A 15,120-nucleotide genomic window follows, 5' to 3' on the forward strand; every position below is an offset into this window, starting at 1 on the left:
CTCCATCAACATCTATCCCCATGCGGCCCCACACTGAAAAGGGAACTCAAGGTATTGAGTATGCTACAGACCAGCCCATCATGTGAAACAACAGGGAACACATCCCAGTATACAAAAATCAAGCACATACATATTTGCTTCTGCCACAACCGGCTCTTACCCATAAGCAGCACCTATGGCCAGGAGGTTGAGCTGCACAATCCAATGTAAAACCTGCTGACAGAAATGCACAAGGTTAAAGAAGAAAAGCCAAAGCACCCTACTTAACATACACTACAGTCACACCTTCAAGGTGAAAAAGTCCCATCCAAATGAAAATAAGTTTAAAAATAAGAAGCAAAAACTTTGCCAGATAAAAAGAAACCAGCATAATAACTCTGGCAATGGGAAACATAGTGTTGCCACACCCTCAAAGGATCACACTAGCTCTCTAGCAATGAATCCTCACCAAAATGAAAATTCTAAAGTGACAGATAAAGAATACAAAATATGGATTATAAAGAAGTTCAGTGAGATCCAAGAGAAAGTTGAAAACCAATGCAAATAAATCAGAAAAAAAATGCAGGAAATGAAAGAAGAGATTGATATATTAAAAAAAATAAAATACAGTTGAAAGGTTTAAAAATAGGCTCCACCTAGCAGAGGAAAATGTTTCAGAGCTTAAAGGTAGGCCCTTCAAACTAACATAGTCTAACAAAATTTAAAAAAAGTTTAAAAAAAATGAACAAAGCCTTCAAGAAATATAGGATTGTGTAAACCAACCAAATTTGAGTTATAGGCATTACTGAGGGAGAAGAAAAAGTAAAAAGTTTGGAAAACCTATTTAAGGAAATAATTCAGGGAAAATTTCCTGGCTATATTGGAGATATAGGCATCCAGATACAAGAAGTTTAGAGAACACCTGAGAGATACTTTATAAAACAATCATCATCAAAGCATATAGTCAACACATTATCTAAAGTCAACTTGAAGAAAAAAATTCCAAAAGGACAAGGAGAGAATCACCAAATCATCTATAAAGGAAATCCCATCAGACTAATAGTAGACTTCTCAGCATAAATCTTAGAAGCCAAAGAGGACTGAGGTTCTATTTTCAGTCTTCTTAGATAAAATAACTGCCAGCCAAGAATTTTGTATTTTGCTAAACTATGCTTCATAAATGAAGGAGAAATAAAGTCTTCCCCAGATAAGCAAACATTAAGGGAATTAGTCACCACTAGACTAGTTCTACACAAAATGCTCAAGAGTTCTAAACAAGGAAACAAAATAATAATATTCATAATTATACAAACACATGAAGTGCAAAGCTCACAGGTCCTATAAAGCAGTTACATAACTGAGAATAAAAAGCAACTAGGTAACAACATTATAACAGGAGCAAAACCTCACATATCAATATTTACCTTGAATGTAAATGGCCTAAATGCTCCACCTAAGATACAAACAGAAAAATTGGATTTAAATTCAACATTGAATTATTCACTGCTTACAAGAGACCCATAAGAAGGTCAAAGATATCTACACACTCAAAGAGGTGGAAAAAGTTATATCAGATAAAAGAGACATTAAATCAACAGTAAAAAGACAAAATAGATCTTTAATAATAAAGGGTTCAATTCATCAAGAAGTTATAACTATCCTAAATATATATGCACCCAACACTGGAGCACCCAGATTAGTAAAGCAAATACTACTAGACCTAAGACAAATATAGAAAGCAATAAAATAATAGTGAGCAACAGATCATCGAGGCAGAAACTCACAAAGAAACTTAGGACTTAAAACAGAATTCTAGACAAATGGACCTTATAGACATTTACAGATCATTCTGCCCAACAACTGCTGATTATACATTTTTCTCATCTGTGCATGGAACATTCTGCACAATAGACCAAATGCTTGGCCAGGAGGCAAGCCTCAATAAATTACACAAAATAATTAAAATTATATCAAGTATCTTCTTGGACCAGAGTGGAATAAAATTAGAAATCAGTATCAAGAGGGACTCTCAAAACAATACATGGGGCCGGGCGCGGTGGCTCACGCCTGTAATCCCAGCACTTTGGGAGGCCGAGGCGGGCGGATCACGAGGTCAGGAGATCGAGACCATCCTGGCTAACACGGTGAAACCCCGTCTCTACTAAAAATACAAAAAATTAGCCGGGCGTGGTAGCGGGCGCCTGTAGTCCCAGCTACTCGGGAGGCTGAGGCAGGAGAATGGCATGAACCTGGGAGGCGGAGCTTGCAGTGAGCCGAGATCGCGCCACTGCACTCCAGCCTGGGCGACAGAGCAAGACTCCGTCTCAAAAAAAAAAAAACAAAAAAAACAAAAAACAAAAAAACAATACATGGAAAGTAAACAATTTGCTTCTGAATAATCTTTGGGTAAATGATGAAATTAGGGCAGAAATTTAAAAAAAAAGTTTCAAGATAATTGAAAATGGAGACACAGCGTACCAAAACCTCTGGGTTACAGCAAAAGCACCACTAAGAAGAAAGTTTACAGTGTTACATGGCTATATCAAAAGATCTCAAATTAACAGCCTGATTTCACATCTCAAGGGATAGAAAAACAAGAGCAAACAAAATCCAAAGTTAGCAGAAGAAAAGAAAAAAACAAAGAGCAGAACTTAATGAGACTGAGACAAAAATTATACAAAGGATCAACAAAATGGCAAGTTGGGTGTTTAAAAAGATAAACAAAATTGATATACCACTAGCTAGGTCAACCAAAAAAGAGAGAAGATTCAAATAGGCACAATCAGAAATAATGAAGATGACATTATACACACTAATACCACAGAAATACAAAAATCAGAGACTACTATGAGCATCTCTATATGCACAAACTAGAAAACCAAGAGGAAATGGATAAATTCCTGGAAACATACAAACTCAAGATTGAACCAGGAAGAAACAGAAACCTTGAACAGACCAATAATGAGTAAAGAAATTGTAGTAGTAATTAAAAAAAAATCCACCCCCTGCAAAAAAAAAAAAGCCCAAGACCAGATGGATTCACATCAAAATTTTACCAGACGTGCAGAGAAGAGCTGGCCCCAATCTTACTGAAATTATTCTAAAAAAATTAGGAAGAGGAAGGATTCTTCCCTAACTCATTCTATGAAACGAGTATAACCTCGATACCAAAATCAGTCAAGAACACAATAGAAAAAGAAAATGATAGGCCAATATCCTTAATGAACGTAGAAGCAAAAATCCTCATCGAAATCCTAGCAAACTGAATCCAACAGTACATCAAAAGGATAATACATCATGATCAAGTAGGTTTTATTCCAGGGAGGCAAGGATGGTTTAATATATACAAATTAATAAATATATCAATAGAACTAATGACAAAAACCACATGATCATTGCAATAGATGTAGAAAAAGCATTTGATAAAATCCAACATCCATTCATGATACAAATCCTCAACAACCTAGGCATCAAAGTAACATACCTCAAAATAACAAAAAACATATATGACAATGTGGTAGCACTCCTCATACTGGGGCACCAGCTGCGGGGAGATATGTCCCCTGCAGACCCCTGACCTGGCAACAGATGAATAACATACACTGACACACAGATATTCTACTTTGCCAGTCCCACTGAGTCTGTCCAGGCTGCTTACAGACTCCCTGCTGAGTCCAGTAAACAGTTGCAACTGTGGCCCTAGTGCCCTCACAGCTAGTGAGACGTTTATTCAGTAAGATTAATTAACAAAGGCTTGAGTTAACACCATTAGAAGGTAATTGACATTGTGGATTTTCTGAGTAAAAAGCAATAAGCACCACCCACCATTGTGGACTTTCCGAGTAGAAAGCAATTAAGCACCACCCACCCCTGCCTGGCACATCAAAGTTTAGTCTTAAGATCACATGAGTAAACAAGCTAGCTAGGTAGATTACTCTGCCTTCCTTTGTTACTACTTTAATTTGTTTAAAGGTAAAGAGACCAGGCCGCCTTCAGCCAGATCTGTTACCGAAGTTATGCAAACTTCTCGGCCTTCCAAGAAGACTTGTGTCTATCTCTATAACTATCTCTGTTATTTTTCCCACCGGCCTGATTGAACTCCAGCATAACCCACAATCAACATTATAATGAATGAAGAAAATCATAAGCATTTCCTCTAAGACTTGGAATAAGACAAGGATGCACACTTTCACTACATCTATTCAACACAGTGCTGGAAATGCTAACCAGAGCAATTAGGCAAAAGAAGAAAAAAGGATCTAAATTAGAAAAGAGGAAGTCAATTTATGTCTGTTCACTGATTAAATAATTTTATACCTAGAAAACCCTAGAGACTCTTCCAAATGTCTCCTAGAATTCATAAATGATTTCAGTAAAGTTTCAGTACACAAAATCAATGTACGAAAATCATTAGCATTTTGATACCCCAGTAACATTCAAGCTGAGAACCAAATAAAAAACTCAATCTCATTTGCAGTAGTCATAACAAAATAAAATACCTAGGAATACATTTAACAAAGGAGATGGAAGATAAGATCTCTACCAGGAGAGCTTCAAAACAGTGATGAAAGAAATTGAAGAGGCTATAAATAGAAAAAGACCCCATGTTCATGGACTGGAAGAACCAATATTGTTAAAATGACCACACTCCCCAAAGCAATATGCATATTCAACACAATTCTTATCAAATTACCAATGACATTTTTCACAGAATTGGAAAGAAAAATTTCTAAAATTCATATGTAACCAAAAAAGAAAAAAATCTGAATAGCCAAAGCAATCCTAAACAAAAAGAACAAAGCTGGAGGCATCACATTACCTGGCTTCAAGTTATATTACAATATCATATAAGGTTGGTGCAAAAGTAATGGCAAAAACTGCAATTGCTTTTGCACTAACCCAATAGTAACCAAAACAGCATGGTACTGGTACAAAAATGTATATATTGATCAATGTAACAGAATAGAGAATCCAGAAATAAAGCCACATACGTACAACCAACTGATCTTTGACAAAGTCAACAGAAATATATAATGAGAAAAATACATGCTATTTAATAAAAGATGCTGAGAAAATTGGATAGTCACTTGCGGAAGAATAACACTGGATTTCTGTCTCTATAAAAATCCTGGAAGAAAACCTAGAAAAAACTCTTTAGTACATTGGCCTAGCCAAATAATTTATGATTAAGACCTCAAAAGCAAATGACACAAAAACAAAAATAGACAACTGAAAATCTTCTGCACAATGAAAGAAATAATAAACAGAGTGACAGACAACCTAGAAAGTGGGGGAAAATATTTGCAAACTATACATCCAACAAATGACTAATATCCAGAATCCGTAAGGAACTCAAAAACTCAAGGAGAAAAAAAATAATTTCATTAAAAAATATGCAAAAGACACAAAAAGACATTTCTTGAAAGAAGACATACAAGTGGCCAATGAACATAAGAAAAAATGCTCAGCATTACTAATCATCAGAGAAATGCAGATTAATGCCACAGTGAGATACCATCTCACACCAGTCAGAATGGCTATCACTGAACAGTCAAAAAACAACAAATGTTGGTGAGGATGCAGAGAAAAGGGAAAGCTTATACACTGTTGGTGGGAATGTGAATTAGTACAACTTCTATGGAAAACAGTATGGCGATGTCCCAAAGAACTGAAAATATAATTACCATTTAAGCCAGCAAACCCACCACTGGGTATCTATTCGAGGGAAAAGAAATCGCTGTATCAAAAAGACCTGTACTCTGTTTATTGCAGCCATATTTGAATAAGATATGTACATCATGAAATACTAGACAATCATGAAAAAGAATGGAAATCATGTCTTTTGCAGGAACATGCATGGGGCTGGAGGCCATTTTCCTAAGTGAAATAACTCAGAAATAGAAAATGATTAACTCAGGATGAATTAAAAACTTAAATGTAAACCCCAAACTATAAAAATCCTGGAAGACAACCTAGGGAATACCATTCAGGACATAGGAGCAGGGAAAGATTTTATGATGAAGATGCCAAGAACAATCGAAACAAAAGCAAAAATTGACAAATGGAATCTAGTTAAACTTAAGGGCATCTGCACATCAGGAGAAACTATCAACAGAGTAAACAGACAACCTACGAATGAGAGAAAATATTTCCAAACTATGCATCTGACAAAGGTCTAATATCCAGCATCTATAAGGAACTTAAACAATTTATCAGAAAAAAAACTGCATTAAAGTAGGCAGAGGATACGAATAGACACATTTCAAAAGAAGACATACATGCAGTCAACAAGCATATTTAAAAAAGCTCAATGTCACTGATCATTAGAGTAATGCAAATCAAAACCACAATGAGATATCATCTCACACCAGTCAGCATAGCTATTATTAAAAAGTCAAAAAATAACAGATGCTGGTGAGGTTGCAGAGAAAAGGGAACACTTATATACTGTCCATGTAGTGTAAATTGGTTCAATCATTGTGGAAAGCAGTATGGCAATTCCTCAAAGATCTAAAAATAACTACCATTTGACCCAGAAATTCTGTTAATGGGTATATTCCCAAAGGAATATAAATCACTCTATCATAAAGACACATGCAAATGAATGTTTATTGCAACACTATTCACAATAGCAGAAACATGGCATCAACCTAAATGCGTACCAATGACAGATAGGATAAAGAAAATGTGGTAGATGTGCACCATGAAATACTATGCAGGTGCACAAATGGTCATTCTTTGTGTGTGTGTGTAGGAACGTGGATGGATCTGGAGGCCTTTATGCTTAGCAAACTAACTCAAGAACAGAAAACCAAATACCACATGTTGTCACTTATACATGGGAGCTAAATTATGAGAACTCATGGAAACCAAAAAGGGAACAACAGACACTGGGGTTTGCTTGACAGTGAAGGGTGGGGAGGAGGGAGAGGAACAGAAAAGATAATTATTGGGTACTAGTCTTAGTACCTGGATAAAGAAATAATCTGTACAACAAACTCTCATGATGCAAGTTTACCTATATAACATACCTACACATGTACCCCTGACCCTACAACAAAGTTTAAAAACTTTTAAAAGAGAATGAAAGATCTCATGTTCTCACTTATAGGTGGGAGCTAAACAATGAGTAGAAGTGGTCATACAAAGGGAAATAATAGACACTGGAAATTCAAAATGGGGGAAGAGTGGGATGGAGATGATGTCAAAAAATTAACTATGGGGTACATTGTTCACCATTGAGGTAATGTATAGTAGAAGCCCAAATCCCACTACTATGCAATATATCCATGTAACAAACTTGCACATGTACCTTCCTAAATCTAATAAATAAAATCAAAAGTATCAGCACCTATTCTAAATGTTATCATTTAAGAAGACCATGCATGAAGACAATGATATAACACCTATAGTTATAGGAGGTCAATTTATACATCAATCTTTGAGTTATGACTTTCATTTAAATCAAATGACATTTGTTGTATATTGACTTGCTCATTTTTATTTCTAAATTTGTATGGGCATACGTATAGCTGTTATTGTGTTTCATTTCATTAGTGGAAGAATAATTTCCCAAATGTTTAAGATGATAGCTTTATATCAGTATTATCAGAGGTCAATCAAAATGGAAATAGAGATGAAATAGAAATTAGTTAATTCTAATAATGGTTCATATTTTTCTTCCAAATCATGGGTTGTTACCAAACAAAACCTTGTTTTTTGCCCATGTCAAATTGAAAGCCAAACACCGAAGTACTTCTCTCTTGTAGAAAAGTTTATTGCAAAGCTGCTGAGAAAGAAGAGAGGAGTCAGCCTCAAATCTGTCTCACTGAGCTGAAGGCTGGGGTGGATTTTATGGGTGGAGGGTAATGAGGCATTATTGGGGGAACCAGCCTCTGATATTTCAATGTAGGTCCTTTTCTATTTTCCCTAAGTGTCGGCTGGTCTGAGGAATAAAGGGAAAGAGTGGTGTGAGCGGTATCTCATTGTAGTTTTGATTTGCATTTCTCTGATGGCCAGTGATGATAAGCATTTTTACATTGTCTTTTGGCTGCATAATGTCTTCTTTTGAGAAGTGTCTGTTCATATCCTTTGCCCACTTTTTGATAGGGTTGTTTATTTTTTTCTTGTAAATTTGAGTTCATTGTAGATTCTGGATATTAGCCCTTTGTCAGATGAGTAGATTGTAAAAATTTTCTCCCATTCTGTAGGTTGCCTGTTCACTCTGATGGTAGTTTCCTTTGTTGTGCAGAAGCTCTTTAGCTTAATTAGATCCCATTTGTCAATTTTGGCTTCTGTTGCCATTGCTTTTGGTGTTTTAGACATGAAGTCCTTGACCATGCCTATGTCCTGAATAGTATTGCCTAGGTTTTCTTCTAGGGTTTTTATGGTTTTAGGTCTAACGTGTAAGTCTTTAGTCCATCTTGAATTAATTTTTATATAAGGTGTAAGGAAGGGATCCAGTTTCAGCTTTCTACATATGGCTAGCCAGTTTTCCCAGCACCATTTATTAAATAGGGAATCCTTTCCCCATTGCTTGTTTTTCTCAGGTTTGTCAAAGATCAGATAGTTGTAGCTATGTGGCATTATTTCTGAGGGCTCTGTTCTGTTCCATTGGTCTATATCTTTGTTTTGGTACCAGTACCATGCTGTTTTGGTTACTGTAGCCTTGTAGTATAGTTTGAAGCCAGGTAGCATGATGCCTTCAGCTTTGTTCTTTTGGCTTAGGATTGACTTGGTAACGCGGGCTCTTTTTTGGTTCCATATGAACTTTAAAGTAGTTTTTTCCAATTCTGTGAAGAAAGTCATTGGTAGCTTGATGGGGATGGCATTGAATCTATAAATTACCATGGGCCATATGGCCATTTTCACGATATTGATTCTTCCTACCCATGAGCATGGAATGTTCTTCCATTTGTTTGTATCCTCTTTTATTTCATGGAGCAATGGTTTGTAGTTCTCCTTGAAGAGGTCCTTCACGTCCCTTGTAAGTTGGATTCCTAGGTATTTTATTCTCTTTGAAGCAATTGTGAATGAGAGTTCACTCATGATTTGGCTCTCTGTTTGTCTGTTGTTGGTGTATAAGAATGCTTGTGATTTTTGTACATTGATTTTGTATCCTGAGACTTTGCTGAAGTTGCTTATCAGCTTAAGGAGATTTTGGGCTGAGAGGATGGGGTTTTCTAGATGTACAATCATGTCATCTGCAAACAGGGACAATTTGACTTCCTCTTTTCCTACTTGAATACCCTTTATTTCCTTCTCCTGCCTGATTGCCCTGGCCAGAACTTCCAACACTATGTTGAATAGGAATGGTGAGAGAGGGCATCCCTGTCTTGTGCCAGTTTTCAAAGGGAATGCTTCCCATTTTTGCCCATTCAGTATGATATTGGCTGTGTGTTTGTCATAGATAGCTCTTATTATTCTGAGATATGTCCCATCAATACCTAATTTATTGAGAGTTTTTAGCATGAAGAGTTGTTGAATTTTGTCAAAGGCCTTTTCTGCATCTATTGAGATAATCATGTGGTTTTTGTCATTGGTTCTGTTTATATGCTGGATTATGTTTATTGATTTGCATATGTTGAACCAGCCTCACATCCCAGGGATGAAGCACACTTAATCATAGTGGATAAGCTTTTTGATGTGCTGCTGGATTCAGTTTGCCAGTATTTTACTGAGGATTTTTGCATCAATGTTCATCAGGGATATTGGTCTAAAATTATTTTGTGTGTGTGTGTGTCTCTGCCAGGCTTTGGTATCAGGATGATGCTGGCCTCATAAAATGAGTTAGGGAGGATTCCCTCTTTTTCTATTGATTGGAATAGTTTCAGAAAGAAACTCCCAGAGTGGCCATTTTAGAGACCTCCTCCTGGGAAATGCATTCTCTTTCTCAGGGCTGTTCCTTGCTGAGAGAAAGAATTCAGTGATATTTCTCCTATTTGCTTTTGTAAGAACAGAAATATGACTCTGTTCTGTCTGTCCCCACAGGCAGTCAGGCCCAATGATTATCTCCCTTGTTCCCTGAAAATCACAGCCATCCTGTTCCTTTTGGATGCCCAGATTTCATATTGTTCAAATACACATGCTTTAAGAAAAATTTGTGCAGTTAACACAATCATCACAGGATTCTGAAGTGACTTACATCCTCAGCTTATGAAGATGATGGGATTAAGAGATTAAAGTAAAGACAGGCATAGGAAATTATAAGAGGATTGATTGGGAAAGTGATAAATACCCATGAAATCTTCACAATTTATGTTCAGAGATTGCAGTAAAGACAGGCGCAAGAAATTATAAAAGTATTAATTTGGGGAACTAATAAATGTCCATGAAATCTTCACAATTTATGTTCTTCTGCCATGGTTTCAGCCAGTCTCTCCATTCAGGGTCCCTGACTTCCCACAACATCTCTCTCTTTCTTTTTATATAAATGTGCCAGGCGATGAAGGCTTGTTTGTTCTCTTGATTTTGATGCAGGATTCTTTGACTGGTCTGGCACACTAAAGACAATCCAATTAAACAGAGAAACATAATTCCAAAATGTACTATAGTGGAGCCCCCAGTAGACTTAATCCAAGTCATGGGGTTTAGTCCAGAAAGATTTTCTGCCACCTGATCTAATGCCTCAGCTCCAGGCAAAATGGATAAATAAGCTTGAGAGGCTTCAAAAATTTGTTTCTCTAGTTATGTCCAATGATAAGTTATCTTCCCTACCCAGAAGGTGTCCTTTGACCATTTCCCATGAATGATCAGTCTCATTGTAGGAATACGGGGTGATACAGAAATCAGAAGTGTTCCAATCACACTGCATTTGCATGTGATGTTCAAGATTCACTACCTGATCTCAAAGCCAAATAACAGACTGTCTTAAATCATTAATTTGATTAGCCAATTTTTGATCAATGCCTTATTGAGAATTCCACACTTGGGAGGAATTGGCTTGCCAATTATTAAGAAAATGAGCCATTTGAATCGATCGATGTAATGCCATTCTGGCCATGGTGGCCATTGCAGTTACTGTAATTTGGCCCATGATCACAGTGATTAAAGTGAAAACAAATCTCTTGCATCTTTTAGAATTTGCTGTAACACTTCATTAATTAAATGTGTCAAGGGGGAGGATTCCCAAGGTCTCAGCAAAGTTACCAGAATCCAAATTCCTTCTTGAGCTAGAACCAACATTACACTTTTCCTGGAGTCAAAATGAGAGTTAATACAAGTGTATAAATGACAATTAATGCATTGAACAGTTTGATTGTTTGTCCAAATTTTGATATTTCACACTAACAGCATGTAAGGAGGCTTAACACAACTCTGTATGGGAACAGTCAGGTTGGAGGTAAGCAAAGCAGAATGTCTGAATCTGTGTTGATACTGAGAGAGGAGGATGGTAGCGGGGACAACAGACAGAATAGTTTCCCCTTCCCATACTTGCAGTCCAGACATGACAATAGACAATTTCCAAAGTTCTGGGTGTTCTGGGCTCAAAATGGGGAATATCATATGAGGCCTTGGTGGGGTAATGCATTTATCTTCCCATTTTAAGGGAAAGAATGAGCTGAACCTCCTATGCAAAGTAGAATGATGATTCTCGTTCTCCCAATAAGAAATAAAATAAGTAGCCTCCAGACATTCCCTTCCGCCAGAGGAGCAATTGTTTTTTAAATAGCCCTTTGATGCCCAGTCTATTACTAAACCATATGAGTCGTTTTTTAATATTACTGCATGTAAGTTAACACAATCTTCCCAAATTAAAGTTTTAGATGGGCCCTCAAAATTTTTAGGGCATGGTTTTCCTGCAGGTTTATATTGAAAGTATGGGGTATCTCCCATTACTTCCCCTTTCATTTGTTTTAAAGGAAAAAGGGAGAGGCTGGAGACCAAATGTCCTGGTTTCTCTGTAGCTGATCTCTCAGGAAGATAAGCAGCCCAGACTTGGGTTTCTAGATGGATACAACCAGGTGTATGTCTGAGCACAGAGGAGGGTATCTATAACCCGCAGTAACATTAAATGCAGTGCCTTACTCTCCTGGTTGAGTGGGGCAATGGTCATCTGTAGCTCCAGGCATCCACACACTATCATTAGTGTAGATTTCTGCAGGAGCATCCAACCAGGTGAGAGGTTGAATAAGTGGAGGAAAAGGCACATAAGCCCGATAAGAATAATTTTCTTTAGCAGGTAAATCAGTGTGAGAAGAAACTGGTGAGAGAGAAAGTATAAGGAGGAGAATCATTAAATAAAACCTAGTGTAAGCGAGATTCAGTGATGAAGGAGGAAGAGAAGAACAGAGGGATGTTATTTTCAGGCTAATATAAATGGTGAGATTTTTAGGTTTGTAAGAGGAAAAAGAAAGGTAATTAGGAGAAGTGGGATTAGTTACATGGGTCTCCATTGCCATCAGGGAGGATTGAACCAGACCCAATTTGATTTGATGTGCCAGCTTCTGAGGAGTTGGCACAGATCTCACCACGTCTGAGGGCGGTCTCTGATGTGGACGTCTTTTCCCTATGGTTTTTGTCGTCAGTATTCACACAAAGCTTGAGTCTCCTAGTGGGTATCCAGCTATGGGATTGATGATCTCTTGATGAAACACAAGCATATTCTCTCTCCCACGTTATAATTGTGCCAGGTTCCCAGGTATTAGTTTGGGAGTTTTTCCACAACACTGGCTTTCCTTCATTTAGGGAGAATTTTTTGCCTGTATAATGGCATTTGGCTGCAGTTAGATTATTATCTTTAGGAACATTTAAAAAATTTAAAGTAAACAATGCCAAATGTAATTGGGAGTGGGGGGGGGGGTAGTTAAATTATATTTTTGTTGTTCAGACTATTTGGATGATTGAGTTTTTAAGGTGCAATTGGCCTGTTCCACCACAGCCTGTCCCTGAGGATTGTAAGGGATTCCAGTAATGTGGGGAATTCCTCACTCTTGCATAAATAAATCAAAAGCCTTACTAACATATCCAGGGGCATTGTCTGTCTTTATTTGATATGGAAGCCCCATAACTGCAAAGCAAGAATACAGATGTTTTTTAACATGGGCCATGCCTTCCCCTGGTTGGCAAATAGCCCAGATAAAACCTGGGAAAGTATCTACAGAAACATGCACATATGAAAGTCTACAAAAGGAGCTAACATGAGTCACATCCATTTGCCATAAATCATTAGTAGTTAGGCCTCTGGAATTAATGCCAGTTTTCTGATTTGGAAGTACAAAAACCTGACACTGAGAACAGCTGTGAACAATAAGCTTAGCCTTTTTCCAGATAAGAGCAAATTTATCTTTTAATCCAGCAGCACTGACATGAGTGAGATTATGGAACTCCTGAGCTTCTTGGGTTGCAAAAGAGACCAAAGATTTGACTTTATGGTTACCGGCAGTCATGGGTCCTGGTAAAGTGGTATGAGATCTAATATGTGTAATATAGAAAGGGTGTTTATGTTGGTGAACCACCTGTTGTAACCTTGAAAATCAAGAAGCCAATTCAGAATTATCAATATGTTTGATAGTAGTGGTTTCTATATTTTTAGTAGCATGTACGACATAAGCAGAATCACAGACAGTATTTAAAGGTTTGGGGAAATACTGTAAGGCAGTAATCACAGCAATTAACTCCACCTTTTGAGCAGAAGTATAAGAGGTAGGAATAAGTTTGTCTGTAGGACCTACATAACCAGGATTCCATTGCTGGAGCCATCACTGAACACTGTAGCAGCCTCAGGAATGGGCTGGTCTTTGGTTAATCGAGGGACCACCCAAGAAGTCATTTTATAAAATCAAACAATTTGTTTTTTGGATAATGATTGTAAATAACGCCAATAAAATCAGCCATGTGAATTTGCCACAATACGGAATGTTGAAAAGCGGCTTGAACTTTGGGCCGATTTAAAGGAACTACAATTAAATTCAGATCAAATCCAGAAATTTTAAGTATTCTACACCGAGCTTGTCCAATTAAGATGGCCAATTGGTCTAGATAAACAGACAAAGTTTTTGACAAAGAATGAGGAAGAAAATACCACTCCACTAAATCATTATGTTGAACTATTAGCCCAGTAGGGGAGTGCGATGAAGCAAAAACTAGAAGCTGAAAAGGTTGAGATGGCTGTACTCTAGATAACTGGGTGGTCTGGATTCTTTCCTCTATGAATTCCAGTTCTAGTGAAGCCTCAGGGGTCAAAGTCCTGGGACTGTGGAGATTGGAATCTCCCTGCAGCATAGAAAACAAGTTAGACAGCACATAGGTCAGAATGCCTAAAGTAGGTCTTAAATAATGTTACCCAAAAGTTTTTGGAAGTTATTTAAAGTTTTCAAAAAATCTCTCCTAATTTGAACTTTTTGAGGTTGAATACGTTGTTTGTTGACCACCATTCCTAAATATTGAACAGGAGTGGTCTGTTGAATTTTATCCTGAGCTATGTGTAATCCAGCCTCTGTAACACGGTGGCTCAAAATTTGATAACAGTCAATTAATTCTTTATCAGTGGGGGCAGCAATTAAAATATCATCAATATAATGAAGAATATAGGCCTGGGGAAACTGGGCTCAAACTGGCAAAAGCACTTGCCCAACATAAAGCTGGCAGATTGTAGGGCTATTTAGCATTCCTTGAGGAAGTACTTTCCATTGATAATGAGCTGCAGGCTCCTGATTATTGATAGATGGTACAGTAAAAGCAAATTTTTCACAATCTGATTTATGTAAAGCAATATAAAACAACAATCTTTAAGATCAATAACTATGAGAGGCTAATTTTTAGGTATCAAAGCAGGGGCAGGCATGCTGGGTTGGATGGCCCCCATAGGTTTAATTACAGCATTAATAGCCCTTAAATCAGTTACCATCCGCCACTTGCCTGATTTCTTTTTTACTAGAAACACAGGATAATTCCAGGGGGAAATAGAAGGTTCCACATTTCCAAGTTGTAACTGTCCAGAAACTAATTGAGTTAAAGCCTCCAGTTTTTCTTTAGAAAGCGGCTGCTACTGTATCAAAACAGGTATGTCAGATTTCCATTGTAAGGGTATAGGATTAGGAGGCATAGCAGCGGCCACCACTAAAAAGGATAACGTAAACCAGCTCTGTCTTCTTTTACAGTAATTGGGAGGGGTTTAGTAATCCCTTCCTGTTTTGGACT

Source organism: Homo sapiens, chromosome 6, assembly GCF_000001405.40.
Source record: "Homo sapiens chromosome 6, GRCh38.p14 Primary Assembly".
NCBI classification, from domain to species: domain Eukaryota; kingdom Metazoa; phylum Chordata; class Mammalia; order Primates; family Hominidae; genus Homo; species Homo sapiens.